This window comes from Homo sapiens, chromosome 20 (genome assembly GCF_000001405.40).
Source record: "Homo sapiens chromosome 20, GRCh38.p14 Primary Assembly".
Taxonomy (NCBI): domain Eukaryota; kingdom Metazoa; phylum Chordata; class Mammalia; order Primates; family Hominidae; genus Homo; species Homo sapiens.
The window spans coordinates 33725238-33751592 of record NC_000020.11 but is presented as its reverse complement, the minus strand read 5'-3'; the positions used below and the strand labels follow the sequence as shown (position 1 = coordinate 33751592).

General features: G+C 49.8%; 1 protein-coding gene and 1 long non-coding RNA gene across 6 annotated transcripts in view, besides 6 other annotated features; one reads left to right on the top strand and one right to left on the bottom strand.

Moving 5' to 3' along the window:
- ZNF341 (zinc finger protein 341) overlaps positions 1-19597 on the bottom strand; it is a 60274-nt gene extending 40677 nt beyond the window's left edge. For 3 of the 4 annotated variants that reach the window (NR_104259.2, NM_001282933.2, NM_032819.5), the window contains exons 1-4: positions 19541-19597; positions 10581-10691; positions 6294-6490; positions 2521-2670 (exon numbers count right to left, since the gene is read on the bottom strand). Coding sequence is in view for 3 of the 4 variants with exons in the window: in NM_001282933.2 (NP_001269862.1) it covers positions 2521-2670; positions 6294-6490; positions 10581-10691; positions 19541-19571 (489 nt within the window). In the remaining variant the exon portion in view is untranslated. The remainder of the gene's footprint in view (positions 1-2520; positions 2671-6293; positions 6491-10580; positions 10692-19540) is intronic. The other variant, NM_001282935.2, reaches the window with a different exon arrangement.
- Positions 17487-17566: an enhancer, noted in NCBI's record as "active region_17744". NCBI's record gives its function as "activates an Ori minimal core promoter by ATAC-STARR-seq in GM12878 lymphoblastoid cells {active_cell/tissue: GM12878}" and the evidence as "EXISTENCE:reporter gene assay evidence [ECO:0000049][PMID:35858748]".
- Positions 17487-18228: a biological region, named in NCBI's record as "H3K27ac-H3K4me1 hESC enhancer GRCh37_chr20:32321171-32321874".
- Positions 17525-18228: an enhancer, noted in NCBI's record as "H3K27ac-H3K4me1 hESC enhancer chr20:32321171-32321874 (GRCh37/hg19 assembly coordinates)". NCBI's record gives its function as "activates a minimal SCP1, AML or CMV promoter by ChIP-STARR-seq in naive and primed H9 embryonic stem cells {active_cell/tissue: H9 hESC(naive and primed)}" and the evidence as "EXISTENCE:reporter gene assay evidence [ECO:0000049][PMID:30033119]".
- Positions 19077-19786: a silencer, noted in NCBI's record as "silent region_12821". NCBI's record gives its function as "represses an Ori minimal core promoter by ATAC-STARR-seq in GM12878 lymphoblastoid cells {active_cell/tissue: GM12878}" and the evidence as "EXISTENCE:reporter gene assay evidence [ECO:0000049][PMID:35858748]".
- LOC124904890 (uncharacterized) lies at positions 19610-22656 on the top strand. 2 transcript variants are annotated; one of them, XR_007067568.1, is made up of 2 exons: positions 19610-19934; positions 22432-22656. It is a non-coding gene; the product is annotated as an uncharacterized LOC124904890 (long non-coding RNA). The 2 variants fall into 2 exon arrangements; XR_007067569.1 differs by having other exon boundaries at positions 19610-19947.
- Positions 19897-19956: an enhancer, noted in NCBI's record as "active region_17743". NCBI's record gives its function as "activates an Ori minimal core promoter by ATAC-STARR-seq in GM12878 lymphoblastoid cells {active_cell/tissue: GM12878}" and the evidence as "EXISTENCE:reporter gene assay evidence [ECO:0000049][PMID:35858748]".
- Positions 19967-20026: an enhancer, noted in NCBI's record as "active region_17742". NCBI's record gives its function as "activates an Ori minimal core promoter by ATAC-STARR-seq in GM12878 lymphoblastoid cells {active_cell/tissue: GM12878}" and the evidence as "EXISTENCE:reporter gene assay evidence [ECO:0000049][PMID:35858748]".

Genomic DNA, 26355 nt, shown 5'->3' with positions numbered 1-26355 from the left:
TCAGAAAAACAAACAAACAAACAAACAAACAAAACCCTGGCTTTGGAGTCTGAAGTGTGTTTCCCTGGGTAGAAACACAGCACACATGTTGCTAGACTTCACTGCTGCAGGAAGAAGTGTGTTTTGTGCAACCTCTCCCCACCTCCCCAAGACAGAGAACTCTGGATTCCTCCAGATTCCACCTGATGTGTCTTTTTCCCTTGCTGATCTTGCTGTGTGTTCCTTTGCTGTAATAAACCACAGCCATGAGTACAACTACCTCTGAGTCCCGTGAGTCTTTTGAGAGAATCATGAATGTGTGGGTAGTCGTGAAACGCAGCCAGTAACTTCTAGAAATTTATGCTACAAAAAAAATCAAGCAGGTGGGCAAAGATGTCTGTTTATGGATAGTGACTCCAGCCATTTTCATAAAAGCAAAAAACAGCAATGACCTACATGTCTATACATAGAAACTTGGCTAAGCAGAAGATGGCCTATCCATATGGTGGAATCCTTTGCAGTTGTTAAAATGATGGTACTGCTGGGTGCAGTGGCTCACACCTGTAATCCCAGCACTTTGGGAGACAGAGGGAGGAGGATTGCTTGAGCCCAGGAGTTCAAGACCAGCCTGGGTAACATAGCGAGACTCTGTCTCTAAAAAAAAATTTTTTTAGGCCAGGCACGGTGGCTCACGCCTGTAATCCCAGGACTTTGGGAGGCCAAGGTGGGCAGATCACCTGAGGTCAGGAGTTCAAGACCAGCCTGGCCAACATGGCAAAACCTTGTCTCTACTAAAAGTACAAAAATTAGCCAGACATGGTGGCGGGTGCCTGTAATACCAGCTACTCAGGAGGCTGAGACAGGAGAATCGCTTGAACCCAGGATGCGGAGATTGCAGTGAGCCGAGATGGTGCCACTGCACTCCAGCCTAGGTGACAAGAGCGAGACTCCATCTCAAAAAAAAAAAAATTTTTTTTTAAAATTAGCCAAGTATGTTGGCACCATGTATGTAGTCCCAGCTCCTCAGGAGGCTGAGCAGGGAGGATTGCTTGAGCCCTGGAGTTTGAGGTTACAGTGAGCTATGATCCTACCACTGTACTCCAGCCTGAGTGACCTGAGTGAGACGCTGTCTCAAAAATAAAAACATGATGCTGATCAGCATTTCATAAAGGACACGGGGTCCTCTTCTTCACTGTGTTCGTTGGGTTCCCAAACAGGGAAAAAAAAAGTCTCGGTTGAGAAAATCAAAAGGATTTCTATATGGCAGGAAGAATCCAGGGACACAGCAAGGGGAGAAGTAAAACACCTCCACCTTAGGTTCCTTTGGCCACAGATCTTTTTTGTATTAAAAAATCCTGGCCAGGTGCAGTAGCTCACGTCTACAATCCCAGCACTTTGAGAGGCCGACACTAGAGGATCCCTTGAGCCCAGGAGTTCAAGATCAGCCTGGACAACAAAGGGAGATGGTCATCTCTACAAAAATTTTTTTTTTAAATCCCAGGGAGCTACTGTGCATTTTCTATTTTTCTAATAGACATGGGACACTTGTTAAGAATAAAAACAAGGCTGGGCGCGGTGGCGCACACCTGTGATCCCAGCACTTTGGGCCAAGGCAGGTGGATCACCTGAGGTCATGAGTTTGAGACCAGCCTGACCAACACAGTGAAACCCCATCTCTACTAAAAATACAAAAATCAGCTGGGCGTGGTGGCGCACACCTGTAATCCCAGCTACTCAGGAGGTTGAGGCAGGAGAATTGCTTGGACCTGGGAGGTGGAAGTTGCAGGGAGCCAAGATCGCACCACTGCACTTCAGCCTGGGCAACAGAGCAAGACTCTGTCTCAAAAAAAAAAAAAGAACAAAAACAAAAGTCAGGCTGGGTGCAGTGGCTCACACCTGTAATCCTGTAATCCCAGCACTTTGGGAGGCCAAGGTGGGAGGATCACCTGAGGTCAGGAGTTTGAGACCAGCCTGGCCAACATGGTGAAACCCCGTCTCCATTAAAAATACAAAAATTGGCTGGGCACAGTGGCTCACACCTGTAATCCTAGCACTTCAGGAGGCTGAGGTGGGGGGCTCACTTGAGGTCAAGAGTTCGTGATCAGCCTGATCAACATGGAGAAAACCTGTCTCTACTAAAAATACAAAAAAAAATTAGCTGGCTGTGGTGGCACATGCCTGTAATCTCAGCTACTCAGGAGGCTGAGGCAGAAGAATCACTTGAACCCAGGAGGCAGAGGTTGCAGTGAGCCAAGATCGTGCCACTGCACTCCAGCCTGGGCAACAGAGTGAGACTCCATCTCAAAAAAAAAAGTCAAAATAGCTGCACTGTATTGACAAAGCCCCACATGTTCTGGGTCCCCACCTAGACGTAGCAGCTTCCCCATCTATAGCAGAGCTGGACAAGGGAAAGCTGATAGCCTCCCTCAGCATCAGGGAGAGCTGGGGCCAGGCCCCCTTTATTCTACAAGATTCTGAATCTGCAGGAGTTAATGTACAGGTCTGGAATCAAGACCCTGTGAGAAGCCCACACCTTCTTACCTGCACAGGTGGGGGGCCCTGGGGCATGGGCTGGTCCAGGGATGTGAAGGCTGACATGGCAGACATGAGCACATCATCGCTCACCAAGATGTTCCCCTGCACCAGGGTCTGGATCAGTGGGGACGGGGGCACTGTGATGTATGTGGAGATCTGGACAGTGGGAGAGAGAGAATGAGTGAGACGGAGAGAGACAGAGTGTGTGTGTGCTCATGTGTGCGTGTGTGCATGTGTGGACATGTCAGGCTCTGTAAGTAAGCCGAGGGCATGGCACAAAAGATCCAGGTTCTGGAATCCCACAGACGTGGATTCCATTTCTACCTCTGCTGCTCCCTGCTGTGTGACCCTGGGCAAGTCACTCTACCTCTCTGTGCCTCCATTTAATCATCTACTGAATGAGGATGATAAGACTGGGCACGGTGGCTCACAACTATAATCCCAGCATTTTGGGAGGCTGAGGCAGGTGAATCACTTGAACCCAGGAGTTCAAGACCAGCCTGGGCAACATGGTGAAACCCTGTCTCTACAAGAAAAATACAAAAATTAGCCGGTGTGGTTTTGCACGCAGCTGGTGTGGTTTTAGAGACTCTGTCTCTAAAAACAAACAAACAAAAACGGAATGAAAGAAAAAACAAATGAGGAGAATAACTCACATCCCTCTGCAAAGTACATACCCTATGACTCAGTAATAATACTTCCTTGTATCAGCCAGGCATGGTGGCTCACGCCTGTAATCCCAGCACTTTGGGAGGCTGAGGCGGGCAGATCACGAGGTCAAGAGATCGAGACCATCCTGGCCAACGTGGTGAAACCCCATCTCTACTAAAAATACAAAAAGTAGCTAGGCGTGGTAGTGCGCGCCTGTAGTCCCAGCTACTCAGGAGGCTGAGGCAGGAGAACCGCTTGAACCTGGGAGATGGAGGTTGCAGTGAGCTGAGATCGTGCCACTGCACTCCAGCCTGGCGACAGAGTGAGACTCCATCTCAAGAGAAAAAAAAATACTTCCTTGTATCTATGCTAGAGAAACACTGAACACATGTCCACATGAAGTCCACAAGTATCTTAGGTCAAGAAGAATATCTGGTGTGGCACGGTGGCTCATGCCTGTAATTCCAGCACTTTGGGAGGCCAAGACAGGCGGATCACTTGAGGTCAGGAGTTCGAGACCAGCCTGGCCAACAGTGAAACCCCATCTCCAATAAAAATACAAAAATTAGCTGGGCATGGTGGCGGGTGTCTGTAGTCCCAGCTACTCAGGAGGCTGAGGCAGGAGAATCACTTGAACCTGGCAGATGGAGGTTGCAGTGAGCCAAGGCCAGCCTGAGCGACAGTAAGACCTTGTCTCAAAAAAAAAAAAAAAAAGGTAAGAGATGGTGAGGGGAATATTTTCTACTAGCAAAACTCACAGTCAAGCAGTGAGAAAAATGACTGTGTTTTTTTTTTTTTTTTTTTTTTTTTTTTGAGACGGAGTCTCGCTCTGTCGCCCAGGCTGGAGTGCAGTGGCGGGACCTCGGCTCACTGCAAGCTCCGCCTCCCGGGTCCACGCCATTCTCCTGCCTCAGCCTCCCAAGTAGCTGGGACTACAGGCGCCCGCCACTACGCCCGGCTAATTTTTTGTATTTTTAGTAGAGACGGGGTTTCACCGTTTTAGCCGGGATGGTCTCGATCTCCTGACCTCGTGATCCGCCCGCCTCGGCCTCCCAAAGTGCTGGGATTACAGGCGTGAGCCACCGCGCCCGGCCAAAATGACTGTTTTATGCCAGAAGATGCCTGTTTCAGTCTATATGTCCTATGGGTCTGGGGTGAATGCTTTCATAGTGATGGCAGAAATGACACCTATACAATGAATGAAGATAATGTTCTAAAGGGATAAGGAAAGAAAAGGAAGCCAGTTGAAAATCTGACCCCTTGACCTGGCATCCTGAGATATGCCCAGCCTCCTTTATGAGGGATCCTTTAGTCTTTCTATGAGCCCCCTATCCAGGGTGTCTTTGCTCCAGAACCGTGTTTTCGGCTGAGGACTCTGGAAGCTTCCCCAGATGCCTCCAGCCTTGTCCTCTGCTCTGGCCTCCGGACTTGGAAATCTACATTGTCTACTTTGTCACTGCCTCCGTTTAAAGGTTGGCAGGCATCTCAACTTCAACGTGCCCAGCTGAACTCCTGACATCCCCCCAAAACCTTCTCCTCACAGCCTCCTCCCTTCAGCTAGTGGCAACTCTAAATCAGGAGTCCTCTGTGACCCTTCTTGATCTCACACTCCTCACCCAATCAATTCACAAGTTCTATCAGCAACACCTTCAAAGTATTTCTAAAATCTCACACTTTCTCACCACCTCCACTGCCAACATGCTGGTCAAGCTACCCGCATCCACTGCCTGGATTTGCACTACAGTCCCTCAACGGGTCTCCTGGCTTTCTCTCTCACCCTCCCTCAAAACCTATTCTCTGTCCAGCAGCCAGAGTGACCTGATAAAAGTCACTATGTCCCTCCTCTGCTTGACAGCCTCCAATGGCTCCCATGTCATTCTCAGTAAAAGCCCCAGCGGCTGGGTGTGGTGGCTCACACTTGTTATCCTGGCACTTTGGGCGGCCGAGGCGGGGAGATCACAAGGTCAGGAGATCGAGAATATCTTGGCCAACATGGTGAAACCCCATCTCTACTAAAAATACAAAAATCAGCTGGGCGTGGTGGTGCGCGCCTGTAGTCCCAGCTACTCTGGAGGCTGAGGCAGGAGAATCACTTGAACCCAGGAGGCGGAGGTTGCAGTGAGCCGAGATCCTGCCACTGCACTCCATCCTGGGCAACAAGAGTGAAACTCCGTCTCAAAAAAAAAAAAAAAAAAAAAAGGCCGGGCGCGGTGGCTCACGCCTGTAATCCCAGCACTTTGGGAGGCCGAGGCGGGCAGATCACGAGGTCAGGAGATTGAGACCATCCTGGCTAACATGGTGAAACCCCGTCTCTACTAAAAATACAAAAATCAGCCTGGTGTGGTGGCGGGCACCTGTAGTCCCAGCTACTTGGGAGGCTGAGGCAGGAGAATGGCGTGAACCCAGGAGGCGGAGCTTGCGGTGAGCCGAGATGGCGCCACTGCACTCCAGCCTGGGCAACAGAGCAAGACTCCGTCTCAAAAAAAAAAAAAAAAAAAGGCCCAGACCCTACACGATCTGCCAAGACCCTCCTGCTGCCTCTCCTAGCACCTCCCACCTTCCTACTTACTCAGTCCCAGCCACTCTCACCTCCTTATAGTTCTGGAACAAACCCAGCACACTCCTGCCTCAAGGCCTCTGCATCTGCTGATCCCTGCACCTGGCTCCTGCTTCCTTCCCCAAACCAGCCGCATAACTCATTCCCACACCTCCTTAGGTCTATCTGGTATGTTCTTCCTACTTATTTAAGTAACTGCGGAAATTATATAGTACTATTGTTTCAGATTTTAAAAATAATAATATATTATCTACTTATTATTCTACAATTTGATTTTTCATACAAAACCTTTTACCTGCTATATAGTATTCTTCCTGGTCACCTCTTCACAGAGCTCTTCCCCAAGCACGATAGACAATATGGCAAAACCTCCCATCCCCGTCTGGCATCCCCTATCTCTCCGCATTTAACATGCTGAAAACAGTACATGTGCACCATCCATCTCGCCCCACTCCACAAGGGCAGGGACTTGGTCTGTCTTATCCATTGCTATAGCCCCAGTGCCCAGCACAGTGCCTGAGCATGTTAGGCCCTCAAAAAAGACATGTTGAATGAATAAATGAACAAATACCTGGCGATTGGCAGGAGTTGGGGCCTGCTGGACCGCTGTGGGTGCTGCCGAAGGTGGGTAGATGCTGTTGGTGGCCAGTGAGACTGTGGCCAGGGCGGGGGCATTCCCCTGGCACTGTTCCCGCTTGTGGGTCATAAACGCTGGCAGCGAGTTGAATTGCTTCTTACACTTCCCGCAGAGAAATACATCCTCGTCATCTGGGGTCATACCCGCAGAGTAGTGGGAAGAGGCCACAGATGAAGGTAAAGTAATGAAAAAAAAGCAAGACTATGTCAAGGGGCATCACAGTATGAGACAGGAGAACTGCAGCTGACCACAAGCAGCAATCTGGGGGGCATGCTGCGACTTGACATGCAGGTGTCAGCCATCAACTATGTGCTTCCTGGGAGTTTTCGAAGCCACACAGGTGGCCAGGCACAGTGGCTCATGCCTGTAATCCCAGCACTTTGCGAGGCCTTGGAGGGTGGATCACCTGAGGTCAGGAGTTCAAGATCAGCCTGGACAACATGGCGAAACCCCATCTCCACTAAAAATACAAAAATTAGCTGGGCATGGTGGTGCGCGCCTATAGTCCCAGCTACTCGGGAGGCTGAGGCAGGAGAATTGCTTGAACCCAGGAGGCAGAGGTTGCAGTGAGCCCAGATCGTGCCACTGCACTCCAGCCTGGGCAACAGAGCGAGACTCCATCTCAAAAAAAAGAAAAAAAACCACACAGTTTCCTGCAGGGATAGCCATATGTGGCCAGGTACCAATTAATTAGAAATCAAAAAACAGTAAAGTATGTTCACTACAAAGTTGAGAACTCCAGAACCTTTATCCTGTCTGAATTTATTCATCAGTCCCCAAATGAGCCACCTGATCATACTCCTCCCATGCCTTTGCATCCACCGTTCGCCCTGCCAGGCTGCCTCTCTGAGGACAACTTGTTCTGCAAGCCTCAGCTTGACTGTCACCTCTTCCAAGAAGTCTTTTTTTCTTTTTCTTTCCTTTTCTTTTCTTTTTTTTTTTTTCTTTCTGAGAGAGAGTTTCACTCTTGCTGCCCAGGCTGGGGTGCAGTGGCACAATCTCAGCTCTCTGCAACCTCTGCCTCCCATATTCATGCGATTCTCCTGCCTCAGCCACCCCAGTAGCTGGGATTACAGGCATGCGCCACCACGCCCGGCTAATTTTTGTATTTTTAGTAGAGACGGGGTTTCACCACGTTGACCAGGCTGGTCTCGAACTTCCTGACCTCAAGGGATCCACTCACCTCAGCCTCCCAAAGTGCTGGGATTACAGGCGTGAGCCACTGCACCGACCTCTCCAGGAAGTTTTTCTAAAGCCAGCGGCTATAGTTCCTTCCTCTGGCACACCTATCATATAACAGTTTTCTTATCAACACCAGACTGTGAGTCCCCTAAGGGAAGGACATGTGTCTTATTTATCACCATAACTACAATATCTCCTGGACACAGAGGAGGTTCTCAATGGACGTTTGTTGAATGAATGAAAAACTAAATGAATGATTAACTACAGTTAACACCATCCATTGCTGAGGGCCTACCACAGCTATGCGCTCACTGTGTCAAGCACCCAACATGTGGTAGCAGAAATGTCTAATTGTTATTCAATTCTAATTGTATCCTTTTTTATTTATTTATTTTTTTAAGAGACGGGTTGCCAGGCGAGGTGGCTCACTCACACCTGTAATCCTAGCACTTTGGGAGGCCAAGGTGGGTGGATCACTTGAGGTCAGGAATTCATGACCAGCCTGGCCAACATGGTGAAACCCCAGCTCTCCTAAAAATACAAAATTAGCTGGGCATGATGGTGCATGCCTGTAATCTCAGCTACTCAGGAGGCTGAGGCAGGAGAATTGCTTAAACCCAGGAGGTGGAGGTTGCAGTGAGCGAGATCACACCACTGCACTCCAGCCTGGGCAACAGAGCAAGACTCTGTCTCAAAAAAAAAAAAAAAAAAAAAAATTGGGCAGGGTGCGGTGGCTCACGCCTGTAATCCCAGCAGTTTGTGAGGCTGAGGCAGGCGGATCACCTGAGGGTCACGAGTTCGAGACCAGCCTGGCCAACATGGCGAAACCCCGTCTCTACCAAAAATACAAAAATTAGCCGGGTGTGGTGGCAGGTGCCTGTAGTCCCAGCTACTCAGGAGGCTGAAGCAGGAGAATCACTTGAACCCAGGAGACAGAGGTAGCAGTAAGCCAAGATCATGCCATTGCACTCCAGCCTGGGCAACATGAGCAAAACTCCGTCTCAAAAAAAAAAAAAAAAAGAGAGAGACAGGGTCCTGTTGTGTTGCCCAGGCTGCAGCACAGTGGCTATTCACAGGCATGATCATAGTGCACACCACTCTCAACTCGTATCCTTCTTATACAATAATACAAATTTCAGTGGGAAACATGGCTTCATAGTTAAATAATATATTTCCCAGGCTTCTCTGCAGCTAGGAATGTCATGTGACAGAATTCTCACCAATGGGACAACAATAGAACTGTACCGTATCTGCAACTTCCTCATAAAAGGAAAAGGAAAGGGCATGGACAGGGCACTGTGGCTCATGCCTGCAATCCCAGTACATTGGCAGGCTGAGGTGGGAGGATTGCTTGAGCTCAGGAGTTCAAGACCAGCCTGGGCAGCACAGAGAGACCCTATCTCTATTTTTTTTTTTTAATTAAAGAGAAGTTTTTTGGCCAGGCATGGTGGTTCACGCCTGTAATCTCTGCACTTTGGGAAGCTGAAGTGGGTGGATCACCTGAGGTCAGGAGTTCGAGACCAGCCAGGCCAACATGATGAAATCCTGTCTCGACTTGGCCGGGCGGTGTGGCTCACGCCTGCAATCCCAGCACTTTGGGAGGCCGAGGCGGGTGATCATGAGGTCAGGGGGTTTGAGACCAGCCTGACCAACGTGGTGAAACCCCATCTCTACTAAAAATACAAAAATTAGCTGGGCATGGTGGCGGGCACCTGTAATCCCAGCTACTCAGGAGGCTGAGGCAGGAGGATTGCTTGAACCCGGGAGGCGGAGGTTGCAGTGAGCCGAGATCGCGCCACTGCACTCCAGCCTGGGCGACAGAGCAAGACTCCATCTCAAAAACAAAACAAAACGAAAGGGTATGAATTCCACTTCCCTCTTTCTTCCCTTCATGTTGGCTGGAATGTGCCAATCAAAGTGGGAGCTAGAGCAGCCATCCCGGGCTGCAGCTCGAGGGCAGTAGAGCCACAGGAAAGAAGGAGTCTGAGTCTCACCATGCCCACCCCAAATGCCCAAATGCCCATCAGGACTTCGCGTAACACAGAAACAAACTTTAATCTTGTAGAAACCATGGTAAACTTCAACAGCTAGAACCAAATCCCAAGTACTCTCATAAGATTCCTATGAGGCAGAACAATTGTCCCTATTTTACAGGTGTAGGAACTGAACCACAGAGAAATTCACTCACTTGCCCACGGTCACAGAGCTAAGAACTATAAGAACAATAATTCAAACCCAGCCATTTATCTCCCTGCCCCTAGTGTGATTCCCAAGTACACAAAAATGTTTGTGGAATGAATAAATGAACACAGTCTCACATAGAAACTTCCAAAAGAAGGCCCTTACAGGCCAGGTGCAGTGGCTCATGCAGGTAATCCCAGCACTTTAGGAGGCTGAGGTGAGCAGATCACCTTAGGTCAGGCGTTTGAGACCAGCCTGGCCAACATGGTGAAACCCCATCTCTATTAAAAATACAAAAAATTAGCCAGGCGTGGTGGCGCACGCCTGTAATCCCAGCTACGCAGGAGGCTGAGGTATGAGAATTGCTTGAACCTAGGAGGTGGAGGTTGCAGTGAGCCAAGATCGTGCCCTGCACTCCAGCCTGGAGGACAGAGTAACACTCTGTCTCAAAAAGAAAAAAAAGAAAAAAAAAAAAAAGAAGACCCTTACAGGCCTGGCCCAGTAAACAGGAGCAATTCATGCTCAGCCTATTCTTTCCACAGAAGGGAGGCTGAATAATCACTTCCAGGGCAAAGGCACAGGCATTGTTGTCAGGCATTGGGGCCCTTAGCCATTCCCTGCATCTTGATCCCATCTCCCCACATTTACTAAGCAATTGAGAGCAGTGTCCTCAGAGCTAAGCAGAGAAAGCCGTGAGCCCAAAGATCCCGGCTGGGAGGCGGGGGAGAGGGTTCAGACACCAGAGCATGTCCTGGGGACCACAGCAAGCATTTCACTCCCACAGCCCAGCACAAGCTCCACCTACTCTTCGCGGGGAGCCATTCACTCTCCCACCGGTGAACCTGAGCAGATACTCACCCAATGGCTGGATAGCAGGGGGCGCATTGACACTCTGGCCTGTCGGATCAGGGACTGCTCCTTGGCCATCCAATAATGACTGGACAGCCAGAACGGTCTGATTGTCCATTCCTGAAAAAAGAAGTGCAGCCTCTTTGGAAGGTAGGCCCAGCATCATGCTCTGACATCACCCTTACAAGCCAGACCCAGGCAAAACCCCTGTGGCGGCTGGGTACGGTGGCTCAGACCTGTAATCCCAGCACCATGGGAGGCTAAGGTGGGAGATCGCTTGAGCCCAGGAGTTTAAGACCATTCTAGGCAGCAACATAGTGAGACTCCACCTCTACAAAAAAATACAAAATTTAGGTAGGCTTGGTGGTGCATGCCTGTGGTCCCAGCTACTAGGGAGGCTGAGGCGGGAGGACTGCTTGAGCCTGGATGGTCAAGGGTACAGTGAGCCATGATCATATCACCTCACTCCACTGTACTTGCTCTTGACAGAGCAAGACCCTGTCTCAAGCAAGACAAAACCCCATGGCAAGGATGGCCGGCTATGCCCCAATATACATTCTCTTCTATTTCCATTGTGAGAGAGCCCAAGATTTTGGGCTGCAAAGATGGCCCCCAAATAAAGGTTACACTTCCCAGGCTCTCTTACAGTTAGGGAATGACTAAGTTCTGGCCAAAGGAATGTAAATGTGCTATGTGGCAGCTTCTGGAAAGTTTTCTTAAAACTGCCTGATATGTGACCCTCTTCTTTGTCCCATCCTCCTTTCCACTTCCCAGAATAAGAATATGGTGGTAGCAACTCAATCCACCATCCTGGATCATAAGGACAACCTTAGGATCGTAGGATAAAAAGCTGGATGGAGCCAGGCGCAGTGGCTCACGCCTGTAATCCCAACACTCTGGGTGGCCAAGGCGGGCAGAGCACCTGAGGTCAGGAGTTCGAGACCATCCTGGCCAACATGGTGAGACCCTGTCTCTACTAAAAATACAAAATTAGCTGGGCGTGGTGGTGTGTGCCTGTAATCCCAACTACTTGGGAGACTGAGGCAGGAGAATCACTTGGACCCAGGAGGCAGAGGTTGCAGTGAGCTGAGATCCTGCCACTGCACTCCAGCCTGGGCAACAAGAGCGAAACTCTGTCTCAAAAAAAAAAGCTGGATAAATCCTGGGCCTCTGAGAACCTTGTAGAACACAGCCATCTTCCTATCTTAGACTGCCTTCCTCTGGACTTTCATGTGAAAGAAATAACCTTCCAGCCTGTTGAAGCCACTGTGACGTGGGGCCTGTCTTACTCATGGCTGACGCTAATCCTAGGTGACAAAGTCCCTCCAGAAATCACGTTAGCCAGTTTTCCTCATGCACACTCCCCAAACCCCACAAATCTGTGTGCACGCGGGCGTCCTTGCCTTCCTTATTTCTCAATGTGTGTCTATCTTTTTTGTTCTGCAATAAACAATAGACTCTGAATTGGTGGCTGGGGGATCGAGAAACTGACTTCTTCCATGTTTTCTAATCAGTTATCACAGTTGAAGTTCACAGTAGTACACTGTCTGGCCATGTCACTAGCCGGATGACAGGCCTCCTCACATCTCAGTGGCCACCAAGGCACACTGTGCCACTCCCAAAAGACCCAGATGGTGCCTCCTCTCTATGACCCCACAGCCGATGCTCTGCCTCCAACCTCTCAGCTTTTACTGGGATGTCTTCCCCAGCTTCTAACTGCAATGCAAATTGAAACCATCAGACCAGTTATCTCTGGCCGGGCATGGTGGCTCACGCCTGTAATTCCAGCACTTTGGGAGGCAGGGGCGGGTGAATCACGAGGTTAGGAATTCAAGACTAGCCTGGCCAAGATGGTGAAACCCCATCTCTACTAAAAATACAAAAATTAGCTGGGCATGGTGGTGGGTGCCTGTAATCCCAGCTACTAGGGAGGCTGAGGCAGAGAACTGCTTGAACCCGGGAGGTGGAGGTTGCAGTGAGCGGAGATGGCGCCACTGCACTCCAGCCTGGGTGACAGAGTGAGACTCCGTCTCAAAAATAAAATAAAATAAAATAAAAAATTGAAACCATCAGCTACTGCAGCCAAACTGAATCCATGCCTTCCCTTGTCACAATGCAGGCTGTGTCCCTCCTGACGCTGCCAGCGCAGCCCTCCCCTCCATCTCCTCCTGCTCCTCAGAAGCCACTCTCCACCAACTCTCACCACACTGTGCCTGGGAACCATCCACAGCTACACACGATCAGTCTCTCCAGAGTGCCCTCCTGCAAATTCATGTTTCCATCTCTCCTCCCTTCAATGGCAAGTATCCCATGAGGGTCACCTACACCCTCTATCTCTTCTACCACCTTCCAGTTCTCCTTCCCCACTCTAGTGGGACTTAAGCCCTCCACTATCTGGAACCACCTTTGAAAAAGTTGCAAAGTGAGAAAATCATGACAGTGAAAGACACCTGACCTAACGAACCCCCATCTTGCCTTTAACCTCCAAACTGCCCTTAGTAATCCCTGGGCTTGGGCCAAGATAACTAGGGAGAAATTTAGTTTACAGTTTAAATGATAATAGCCCTTCCCCAAAACTAACCCTCCTTTGTGAAGCTAATGAAAGACCATGAGGTTAGGAGGATAAGAGGAACCTACATTCTGGTAAGGTGTAGACATAAATATTACCAGCCATTATTCCAGAGATCACAAGATTTGCAACTTCCCCAATTACTCCTGCATATAATATTATTATCATTATTATTATTTTGAGATAGAATCTCCCTATGTTGCCCAGGACAGTCTCAAACTCTTGCACTCAAGGGATCCTCCCACCTTGGCCTCCCAAAGTGCTGGGAATACAGGCATGAGCCACCACGCCTGGCCAACTTTTTTTTTTTTTTTTGAGATGGAGTTTCACTCTTGTTGCCCAGGCTGGAGTGCAATGGCGCAATCTTGGCTCACTGCAACCTCTGTCTCCCGGGTTCAAGCAACTTTCCTGCCTCAGCCTCCCGAGTAGCTGGGATTATAGGCACACGCCCCCATGCCTGGCTAATTTTGTACTTTTAGTAATGACAGGGTTTCTCCATGTTGGTCAGGCTGGTCTCAAACTCCTGACCTCAGGTGATCTGCCCGCCTTGACCTCCCAAAGTGCTGGGGTTACAGGTGTGAGCCACCGCACCTGGCCCCAACATCATTATTATAGAACCTAAGATTAGCCTTTTGAGATATCTTTTCAGATTTTTGCATTTCTGACAACCAATGGCTCCACGTAGACTCGCCAATGAGTCCTGCAGCCCCACCCAGAAGCAGACTCTGCATGTAGGAGGACCATTTTCCACAACTCTATGATTGCACCTCCAACCAATCAACAGCACCCATTCCCTTGTCCCCCAAACTATCTTTGAAAAAACCTAGTGTCTGGCTGGGCATGGTGGCTCACGCCTGTAATCCCAGCATTTTGGGAGGCCAAGGTGGGCAGATCATGAGGTCAGGAGATCAAGACCATCCTGGCTAATACGGTAAAACCCCATCCTTACTAAAAATATAAAAAATTAGCCGGGCATGGTGGCAGGTGCCTGCAGTCCCAGCTACTTGGGAGGCTGAGGCAGGAGAATGGCGTGAACCCAGGAGGCGGAGGTTGCAGTGAGGTGAGATCACGCCATTGCACTCCAGCCTGGGCAACAGAGCGAGACTACGTCTCAAAAAATAAAAAATAAAAAATAAATAAATAAATAAAAATAAAAAACCTAGTCTCTGAATTTTCTAGGAGGCTGATTTGAGTAATAACACAATTCCAGTCTCCTGTTCAGCTGGCTCTGTGTGAATGTAACTTTTTCTCTGTCGCAATTCCCCTGTCTTGATAAATTGGCTGTATCTGGGCAGCAGGCAAAATGAACCCATTGGATGGTTACAGTTCCACCAAAACACTTTCCCCATCATCACCAAAGACCATCTGGCAGCACCTGCCACTCCCTGAAACACTCTGTTCTTGGCTCCAGGGCACAGCCTTCCTGGGTCTTCTCTACCTTTCTGTGCCTCCTTTACTCTCTTCTCCTGGCCACCCCCTAAGTGTTTCCATTTTGAGGAAACACTTTGTCCTTTGTTCCTTTGTCTGGACTCTCTCACCTCTGCCTCTCATGCTGTCCCTGGGCAGTCTCACTCACCCCAGTCTACTTCCTTCCAATATCTGGAGTTTCAAGCCTGGGGTTCAAGCTCTCCTGAACAAGCTTCAGTGAATCTTCTACCATTTTATGCAAAATTGTGAGTGTTTTAGCATTTGTGTGCAAATCTGTATACAAATGTTCATAGCACTTTTAGGTATAACAGTAAAAAATTTAGCCTGGGCAACATGGTGAAACCCGTCCCTACTAAAAATAGAAAAAATTAGCTGGGTGTGGAGGCACGCACCTGTAGTCCCAGCTACTCGGGAGGCTGAGGCAGGAGAATCGCTTGAACTTGGGATGTGGAGGTTGCAGTGAGCCAAGATCATGCCACTGCACTCCAGCCTGGGCAACAGTGAACACTTTGAGATGGAATCTCCCCATGTTGCCCAGGTGAAAACCTGGTGGTCTTTCAATAGCTTTACAAAGACAGTTTAGTTTTGGGGAAGGGCTATTATCATTTAAACTGTAAATTAAATTTCTGCCGAAGTTAGCTTGGCCCAAGCCCGGGGATGACTAAGGGCAGTTTGGAGGTTAAAGGCAAGGTAGGGATTGGTTAGGTCAGGCGTCTTTCTCTGTCATGATTTTCTCACTGTTACAATTTTTGCAGAGGCAGTTTCAGAATGGTGGGGGGCTTAAGCCCCACTAGAGTGGGGGAGGAGGGCCAGAAGGTAGTAGAGGAGATAGAGGGTGTAGGAAATGGTTCAGAAGAACATCTGAACTGTTTCCAGTTTTTACTTTTTTTTTTTTTTGAGACAGGGTCTAAAAAAAAAAATAGTAAAAACTGGAAACAGTTCAGATGTTCTTCAGTGAGTGGTTAAATGGTGAAATAGCCATACTATGGAATACTACTAAGCAATAAAAAGGAACAAACTATTGCTATACACAACAACTTGGATGAATCACTAGGGAATTATGACGGGTGAAAAAAGCCCATCTCAATGGTATACACTTTATGATTTCATTTATATAGTATTCTTGAAATCACAAAATTTTACAAATGGAGACAGATTAGTGGTTGCCAGGCATCAAGGATGGTGGGAGAAGGGGAGGATTTAGGGTGTGGCTATAAAAGGGCAACTCCTTGGAGTGATGCCCCTGTTCTGTATGTTGACTGGTGGTAACACACTGTAGTTGTGCAAAATGTTACACCAGGGGAAATGGGGTCAAGGACACGTGGGATCTCTCTTTATCATTTCCCACAACTGCATGTGAATCTACAGAAAAAGTGATTTCAAAATAAAAAAATTTAAACAAATGCAGGGTGGGTACAGTGCCTCATGCCTGTAATCCTAACACTTTGGGAAGTCAATGCAGGAGGACTGCTTGATGCTAGGAGTTCAAGATCAACCTGGGCAACATAGCAAGACCTCATCTCTAGAAAATTTAAAAAATTGGCTGGGTGTCCTGGCACGCACCTGGGAGGCTGAGGTGGGAGGATCACTTGAGCCCAGGAGTTTGAGGCTGCAGTGAGCTATGAATGCACTACTGCACTCCAGCTTTGGAGACAGAGTGAGATCCTGTCTCTACAAATAAAAATAAAAAAGGCTGGCTGGACACAGTGCCTCACGCCTGCAATCCCATCACTTTGGAGGCCAAGGCGGGCAGATCACTTGAGGTCAAGAGTTCGAGACTAGCCTGGCCAACATGGTGAAACCCCGTCTCTACTAAAAAATACAAAATTAGTCAGGCGTGGTGGTAAGCGCCTGTAATCCCAGCTACTCAAGAGGCTGAGGCAGGAGAATCGCTTGAACCTGGGAGGCAGAGGTTGCAGTGAGCCAAGATCGCACCACCCCAGTCCAGCTTGGGTGACAGAGTGAGAGTGTCACAAAAAAATAAAAAATTAAGTTAAATTAAATTAAAAAGGCAGCCTGGGCCAGGCTCAGTGGCTCATGCCTGTAATCCCAGCACTTTGGGAGGCAGAGATGGGTGGATCACTTGAGGTCAGGAGTTTGAGACCAGCCTGGCCAACATGGTGAAACCCCCTTCTCTATTAAAAATACAAAAATTAGCCAGACGTGGTGGCATGTGCCTGTAGTCTCAGCTACTCGGGAGGCTGAGGTACAAGAATCACTTGAACCCAGGAGGTGGAGGCTGCATTGAGCCAAGATTGCACCACTGCACTTCAGCCTGGGAGACAGTGTGAGATGCTGTCTCAAAAACAAAAAAAAGGCAGCCTGTGTAAAACTGAACTTGAATTAAATGTCATCCTCCACCCCAAAGTTTGTTCTTCCAGTAATCCTCATCAAGGAGAACAGGGCACCAGGGCACCCTCTGGGGCGGCACCACTTGGGTCTTCCCTCAACCCACTGCTCCCCCTCCCCACTCCCCATTTCTGGTTCTTCTGCAAGTCTAGCCTATTCTGTCTCCCCAATACATCTCAAATAAACTGTCTTTCCATCCCCACAGTTGTTTACCAGCCCAGTTCTCTGCTGTACAACCTCAGCAGCCTCCACCCCGACCCCCCACTGCCACTCTGGCCCCCTCCAGTCTGTTCCAGAGCAGCTAGGGTGAACTTTATAAAACATACATCACATTGTGCTGCTCCCCTGCTGAAAACCTTTTGTTAGCTCCACACTGATCCCAAGATAAAGTTTAGCTGCTCCATCAAACCCCATCTCTAGCAGTTCACCCACACCCAGCTTCTGTGAATCCCAGGAGACCTTTCTCCCCAGGGCTTTGAAAATGCAGTTCCTGCTGCCTGGGCCATTCTCCTGCCCTCCTCCCCTAGATCTCCACAGTCCTGCTGCCCTTTCTTCACCCAACATGCATCCCACTGTCCTAGGAACTGATTTCTCTTTAACTGTCTTCATTACTCAATACACAAACACATTCTTGCAGTAAATATTCAAACAATGAGGAAGTCCAAACAGCCTAAAGAGAAAGTAAGCCTCACCCCATTCTATTGGCCTCTGGGAGGGAACTACCACTGACCTCGGCCTTCCTGATCCACCACCTCCTGCTTATGTTATTCACAGTAGGAATGGCCAGCTGAGGTCATCTTATTCTACATGACCTTTTCCATAATTCTATAATTTCTATAATTGCTTGTTTTATAATTTCTCTCCTCTACCAGACTGCAGGGCAGAAACTACAGGGAGTGTCTGTCTCAGTCAGTCTTTGAATCGGAACCCCACTAGATGGAGACAGGGCTACCCCGCCCCCCATTTCCTGGTGCGAATTGTGATCCTTCAAGAAGTGAAGGGAGTCCTGGAGCAGTCGCTCACGCCTGTAATCCCAGCACTTTGGGAGGCTGAGGCGGGCAGATCACTTGAGGCCAGGAGTTCAAGACCAATCTGGCCAACATGGTGAAACTCCGTCTCTATTAAAAATACAAAAAAATGGCCGGGCGCGGTGGCTCACGCCTGTAATCCCAGCACTTTGGGAGGCCAAGGCGGGCGGATCACGAGGTCACGAGATCGAGTCCATGCTCGCTAACACGGTGAAACCCCGTCTCTACTTAAAATACAAAAAAAAAAAAAAATTAGCCGGGCGTGGTGGCGGATGCCTGTAGTCTCAGCTGCTCTCGAGGCTGAGGCAGAAGAAGCAGAAGAATGGCGTGAACCCCGGGAAGCGGAGGTTGCAGTGAGCCGAGATCGCTCCACTGCACTCCAGCCTGGGCAACAGAGCAAGACTCTGTCTCAAAAAAAAAAAAAAAAAAGGAAATTAGCCGGGTGTGGTGGTGCACGCCTATAGTCCCAGCTACTCAGGAGGCGGAGGCACGAGAATCGCTCAAACCTGGGAGGGGGAGGTTGCAGTGAGCCGAGATCGCGCCACTGCACTCCAGCCTGGGCGACAGAGTGAGACTCCGTCTCAAAAAATTAAAAAGTGCAGGGAGTGGCTGAGATCTCCTAGGAAGCTGCAGGACTCAAAGCTTCAGCTTCATCCCGCCAGTCCAGTACTTCGAGTTTGCACCCTATCTGTATACTCATCTCATCCCACTCCTCCAAGACCATTCTTGGTCTGTATTTCCCACAATATCTATTCTGCGCCATGGCCCCGAGTCGCTAAGGCTGCCCTTCCTCCCCGACGCCCAGCAGATGCACACATGGAGGTGCTCAGTGTTTGCTGTCTCCAAAGCCCACAGTTTTGAGCCTGAGCACCAACCCCATCCCAGGTTCTTGCAGAGCACGGAACAGTCTGTCGGCACCCAGCGTTTGCTGGCCTGGGTCTGGGAACACCGCGTCCCGGCCGGGCACACCGCGCCAGCACCCACGGTGTCAGTTTAATTTGTAAAACTGCACCGGCCACGGTGCGCACTGCAGGCGCCAGGTGTTTGCTGGCTTGGGTCCCTAAGCTCTGAGTCCAGGCTGTGCACACAGGTGGCGCCTCTGCTGCTGTGGTCTGATTTTGAGACTACGTCCTAGCACGAGGCATACAGTCCGCTCCGCAGAAGTTCTTCGTGGTCAGGCCGCCGAGGCCCTCCTGCCCGCAGCTGCGACCGCACCCCCGTCCCGGGCCCCGCGCGCCGCCAAGCCGCCTCCCTGGCCGCGGCTGTTCCAGACCGCCCCGCCGTCGCCTCCCGCGCAGTTCCCTGCAGGGAGCCCCTCCCGCGCCCGCCCAAGGCCGCCCAGGCTGGCGCTGTTCCGGACCCGAGCCCCCTCCCCGCCGGCCTGGCTCTCCCCGGCTGTTCCGGCCCCGGAGCTCCCCCGCCGGGCCTCGGCTCCCGCGCTGTTCCCGCCCGCGCCCCTCCCGCCCCGCGGCTGTTCCAGCCCCGGCGCCCTCCGCCCCGCGGCCGCTGCGCGCCCTAGGCCGGGCGCTGCGAGGGCGCGGCGGGAGGGGGCGCAGCGCGGAACAGCCGCCTCCGCCGGCCCCGCCGCCGCTCACCCTCCAGGGCCTCAAAGATCGCCTGCGCCATCTTGGAGCCGCCGCCGTCGCCGCCACAGGAACCGAAGCCCGGCTACGCGAGCATTGTGGGAGCCGTGGCGGTTGAGTCGGGGCCGCCAGGGGGCGCCCAGGAGCCGCCGCCGAGCCCCCAGCCCTGGAAACCCAACCTAGGCTCGCGGGACCCCAGCATCTCTGGGCTGCCCTGGCTCCACTCGATAACCCAGTCACCGGGCCACCGAGTGTGGACCCCGCCTCACTTGAACGACCAAGTCTACACCGACCTTATATCCGCCGCACACGCGGAACTTCCCATCCCTATTATCTAAATCCGCATCCCCATCTCACCGGACCCGACCCCCCAGCTCTGACACAGAATCCCCCATTCCCACAGCACGTGAGTCCTCCAGGTCTGCTGCACGGACCCCATTTCCGCTGAGCACAGTATACCCCGACTCTGCAACAAACCATGACCCCTATCCCATCTCACCCAGACCACCCAACTGTCACAGGGATCTCCAGGCTGTACAACATAGATTCCCATCCCTCATCCCCTATTAGAGACTTCCCGCCCCTACTACCCTGCTCAACTCTGCCTGTTGGGAGCCCGCCTCAGCCTCCAGAGTAGCGGGGACTACCGGCACACGCCACCATGTCCTACTAATTTTTATTTTTATTTTTTTGTAGAGATCAGGGTCTCACTATTTTGTCCAGGCTGGTGTCAACTTCTGGCCTCCAGCGATCCTCACGTCTCGGCCTCCCAAAGCACTGGGATTACAGGCGTGGGTCTCCGTGCTGGGGATCCCATTATCTCTTAAGTAACTCCATCTCTTCACCCTCCATCCCTGCTTGTTGGGACCCCATTTCTGTCACATAAACCCCCAACACCCACCCCAGCCACTCCTAGCCCAGCCTCCGAGGGGTCCTATCCAGGTCTCACAGAATGAGAGGTGCTCCTCACTGGGACTTCCCCTACACACACAGACCCCTCTCATCTTCATTCATCCTCCATCAACTGCTTATTAACGGCCTGCTATGCACCAAGTCCCGTAATAGCTCTAGAGACATGGTGGTCCTTTCCCATGGAGTTAGAGGTGGGAAGAAAGACCGACATTAGGCCAGGCGCGGCGGCTCATGCCTGTAATCCCAGCACTTTGGGAGGCCGAGGCAGGCGGATCACGAGGTCAGGAGTTCGAGACCATCCTGGCCAACCTAGTGAAACCCCGTCTCTACTAAAAATATAAAAATTATCTGGGCATGGTGGCACGTGCCTGTAATCCCAGTTACTTGGGAGGCTGAGGCAGGAGAATTGCTTGAACCAGGGAGTCAGAGGTTGCAGTGAGCCGAGATCGTGCCACAGACTCCAGCCTAGCGACAGAGCAAGACTCTGTCTCAAAAAAAAAAAAAAAGACCGACATTAAATCTTAAAGGTTATTTAATTACAATGTGTATGCCGGCCACAGTGGTTCACACCTGTAATCCCAGCACTTTGGGAGGCTGAGGCTGGAGGATCATTTGTATCCAGGAGTTTGAGACCTGTCTGAGCAACATAGTGAGACCCCGTCTCAACAACAACAACAAAAGTAGCTGGGCATGGTGGTTTGCACTTGAGTACCAGCTACTCAGGAGGCTGAGGCAGGAGAATTGCTTAAGCCTAGGAAGTAGAGGCTGCAGTGGGCTATGATCTCACCACTGCACTCAAGCCTAGGCAACAGAGTGAGACCCTTTCTCAATAATCAATGTGTGATAGTGGTTTCAAAGTACCCTTGGGAAACAAGCAAGAGTTTAGGGAGTGCATAGAGGGGAGGGGGAAACTAAGGAAGGGGCTATTGTTAAAGAAAAAATTAGGCCGGGCACAGTGGCTCACGCCTGTAATCCCAGCACTTTGGGAGGCCAAGGTGGGCAGATCACCTGAAGTCGGGAGTTTGAGACCAGCCTGACCAACATGGAGAAACCCCGTCTCTACTTAAAAACAATAAATAAATAAAATTAGGTGGCCATGGTGGCACATGCCTATAATCCCAGCTACTCGGGAGGCTGAGGCAGGATAATTGCTTGAACCCGGGAGGCGAAGGTTGCGGTGAGCCGAGATCACGCCACTGCACTCCAGCCTGGACAACAAAAGCAAAACTCCATCTCAAATTTAAAAAAAAAAAGAAAAAGAAAAAATTATTTACCTGGGTGTGGTGGCTCCTCTGTAATCCCAGCACTTTGGGAGGCTGAGGTGGCGGGAGGATTGCTTGAGCCCAGAAATTGGAGACCAGCCCAGGTAACATAGTCAGACCAGCATCTCCACAAATGATTTTTAAAAATATTAGCCAGGTATGTGGCACATACCTATAATCCCAGCTACTAGGTAGGGATGCTGAGGTGAGAGGATTTCTTGAGCCAGAGAAGTCAAAGCTGCAGTGAGCCATGATCATGTCACTGCATGCCAGCCCGGGTGACAGAATGAGACCCTGTCTCAAAAAAAAAAAAAAAAAAAGAAAAAAAATTGTTCAATGATCTTTGCTAAAACACAAACACAATAAGGAAGGCTTTATTCAGAACTACTGCGATAGGTACCACTACAAAGGGGCCTTGCAGTGGGGGAGAGAGACTGGGCTCAACTCTGAATACAGCATAGGCAAGTGGGAATTTATAGCCGAGGAACATCATGGGGGCTGGGGGTAGGGAGGTCAGTTGATAGAAAATTACCAAGAGGAAACATCGGAGGTAAGGGGAATTCTGGCTAAACCGACCTAACAGGATTCTTGCTGAAGATGGGCTAGGGTAATCAACATCACCTAGGAGATGGTGACAGATGAGGAACCTGATCAGATATCTAGGATGATTAAATATTAAGGATGGGGGTTCCTGCTAAACTGACTTAAAGCATTCTTTGTGAAAACTAGATTTTACAAAGAAGTGCACAGGTGGGCCTAGCAGAAGATTCCAAAGTCTGACCAAGCAGTTACAGCAAGCAAAGAATCTTTGTCACCATCAATCATGAATCTCTCCCATGATCATGGCCACATCGTCATACAACGGGACAACCATGGATTGGACTCTAAATGTTCTCATTGGTTTTACTAAAATACCTATTTTAGCCTCAGCTAAATAAATAACAAATATCATAATTTTCATTTTCTTGTATTCACTATATAACTCCTACAATTAAAAATTATTTGTTTGCAGCTGGGCATGGTGGCGCACTGCTCTAAGCCTAGCACTTTGAGAGGCCAAGGCAGGAGGACTGCATGAGCCCAGGAGTTTGAGACCTGTGAACTACAATTTTTTAAAATTGTTTTTTCAAAGTTCCTCTCCCCTTGGGGAACCCTGCTAGCCACTGTTCCTGACAAGTTGTCTCTGTGGAGACAAAAGTGACTCCATCTTGGATGCTAATCCCCCATGTTGACTTCTGATTAGCCCCAGTCCCGTGAATGCCTCCTGATTCCTACTTTATTTACTGTCCCTAGTCAGCCTGATGTTATTGCACAAATTATAAGCTATATGCCGCCCTGATGTTATTGCATAAATTATAAGCTATGAAACATACAGCATTCTTGTCTGCTCTGGAAGTTTCCTTTAATTGTCTTGCAGAGAGCACTTAAAACTCTTTCCCTGTGGAATATAAGGCCTAAGTCTTGGGGTAACAGAGGGAGAGATCTCCTGTCTTGCTGCCGCCCAAGCCCATGCTGCTTTTAAGATCCCCCATTAAAACACCCTTTACTGACAAACTGAATTTGTCTGCCTCATTCCTTGGTTTTTTGGCTCCGTTGGCATTTGGGGACCACTTTGTATATATGGCCCTTTCACAGAATAGCCTCACAGACTCTCTGCCTATTTACCCCCTCAAGGCCCATTTCTGCCGGTGAACTCCTTGTACTTCCCTGAACACCACCCCTGTGCACACCACTGCTACCCCCTTACCTCCATTTCCCTTCCCATTCCCCCCTGCACAGTGAGCCCTGAGCAAATGTTCCCCACAGAAAACCCAACCTGCCAGGGGCAGTGGCTCAAGCCTGTCATCCCAGCATTTAGGGAGGCAGAGGCTGGAGGATCGCTTGAGCCTAGGAGTTCAAGACCAGCTGGGGCAACACAGTGAGACCCCATTCTCCACAAAAAGGAGAAAAAGAAAAAAGAGGAAATCCACTCTTCTCCAAGACACCACACCCCACCTACCTTCCTGGGAATCTTGAAGGGCACACCCCAAGCTGTGAGCGCCCCCTTCCATTGCCTTGCTGGCAGGGTAAAGTCAGGGTTCCTTCCTCCCTGTCTCTAACATGCTCACTGATCCAATGGCCTCAGATTCTCCCCTCTCCCCTGCAAGTTTCTCCATATAACTATTCTTTGTTTGTCTGCATCACCAAAGCCTGCAAAGTATACCTATTGTTTTTGTTTTATTTATTTATTTATTATTTTTTGTTTTTTGAGACAGAGTCATGTTGTGTTGCCCAGGCTGGAATGCAGTGGCCAATCTCTGCTCACTGCAACCTCCACCTCCCGGGTTCAAGAGATTCTCGTGCCTCAGCCTCTCAAGTATCTTAGACTACAGGTGCCTGCCACCATGCCCAGCTAATTTTTGTATTTTTTGCAGAGACAGTGTTTCACCATGTTGGCCAGGCTGGCCTCGAACTCCTGAGCTCAGGCAATTGCCTGCTTCAGCTTCCCAAAGTGCTGGGATTATAGGCGTGAGCCACCACGCCCGGCCTGTTTTAGTTTTATTATTCAAATAAGAAATGAATATGTTCACATTTATTTGATTACTTTCAAAATATTTGTTGAGCACCTACTGTGTGCTAGACACCATTCTAGATGCTGCGGATGCAGGCATGAACCAAAAGACAAAAATCCTTGCCTTCATGGAGTCTTAGTCTAGCTAGGTGAGATGGGCTGTAAACAAGGGGAAAAAAAAAGAGAAAGAGAGAAATTTTCTATGACTTTAAATACTTTTTTTCCAGAAAGAGGGGAAGCTACTTTTAGACAGAATGGTCAGGGGGAGTCTGTCTGAGGAAGTGGGCCTGAGAAATAAGCTGGAGTCAGCAATGTGAAAAGAGAAGAGAAAGGCAGAGAGACCAACAAGTGCAAAGGCCCTGAGGCCAAAATGAAAAGAGGCCAAGAACTGTAAAGGGGCAGCTGAGAGTAATAAGTGATGTATGGGTATTTGTATTTTCAGTAGAGACGGGGTTTCACTGTGTGAGCCAGAATGGTCTCGATCTGACCTCGTGATCCACCCACTTCGGCCTCCCAAAGTGCTGGGATTACAGATGTGAGCCACTGTGCCTGGCCAGCTTCCCATATATTTCCATACCACCAGGTGCATATGCAGAGTAGATTTTCATCTATGCTGTTGCATAGATGCATATTGCATATGCTGTTCTCTCCTGCTGAAACGCCTGCAACAATAGGAGCTTGGCCATGCGCCATGGCTCACACCTGTAATCCCAGCACTTTGGGAGGCCCAGGTGGGCAGATCACCTGAGGTCAGGAGTTCAAGACCAGACAAGACTCTTGTCTCAAACTGTGTCTCTACTAAAAATACAAAAATTAGCCAGGCATGATGGCGCATGCCTGTAATCCCAGCTACTTGGGAGGCTGGGGCAGGAGAATCGCTTGAACCCAAGAGGCAGAGGTTGCAGCAAGCTGAGATATGAGCCACATATGCCTGTAGTATACCTGTTGTCTCAGCTACCTGTAGCTGAGATCTGGGCTACAGAGCAAGACTTCATCTCAAAAAAGAACCCCACCACCACCCCCACACACACAAATTGGACCCCAGGGCTTGGCACAGAGGCAACTTGGGAAATGCTTCACTGAAGGCTTGACCGATGGAACTGAATGAGTTTCAGGGAGGTAGAGCCCCACCTCTGGCAGGCTCCCCAGTCAGGCTGCCCCCACTCCAAACTTTCCACCCCTTACTGGCATCTCTTCATCCACCAAACACTTATCAGTCACATGTCCAGTTCCCTTGGGGCTACCTGGTTGGCACCGAACAGAATCCAATCACAGCTTAGAGACTCCTGGGGTAGGTAATGTAATAATTCCAGGCAAGGGGTCAAGCAGGGAGGAGGGAGAGTGGGAAACGTCCAGTGTCCCACTCCACAGTGAGTGCTCCAGCCACCCCAGAAAAATTAACTTCTCTGTGGGGAGGGAAGAATCTCATGCTTAAATCAGACTCCCAGCTACAAGGGGAAGAATGTGCTGACACACAAGGCAATGCTGGGTCCTGACATCTTGTTAGGTTGGTTGGTGTTGGTAGTAAGCAGCAAAGCATGTGGCTGTTATGGATTGAATTGTGTCTTCCCCACAAAATTCATACGTTGATGTCCTAGCCCCTAGTACCTCAGAATGTAACTGTAACCTGAGTCTTTAAAGAGCTAATTAAGGGGCCGGGTGCGATGGCTCATGCTTGTAATCCCAGCACTTTGGGAGGCTGAGGTGGGTGGATTAGCTGAGGTCGGGAGTTCAAGACCAGCCTGGCCAACATGGTGAAACCCTGTTTCTACTAAAAGTACAAAAATTAGCTGGGCATGGTGGCGCGCACCTGTAATCGCAGTTACTCGGGAGGTTGAGGCAAGAGAATCACTTGAACCCGGGAGGCAGATGCGCCACTGCAGTCCAGCCTGGGTGACAGAGCAAGATTCTGTCTCAAATAATAAATAAATAAATAAATAAATAAAGAGCTAATTAAGGTTAAACGAGGTCCGGCCAGGCACAGTGGCTCAGGCTTGTAATCCCAGCACTTTGAGAGGCTGAGGTGGGCCTTGGAGTTTGGCAAGGTCAGGAGTTCAAGACCAGCCAGGCCAACACAGTGAAACCCTATCTCTACTAAAAAT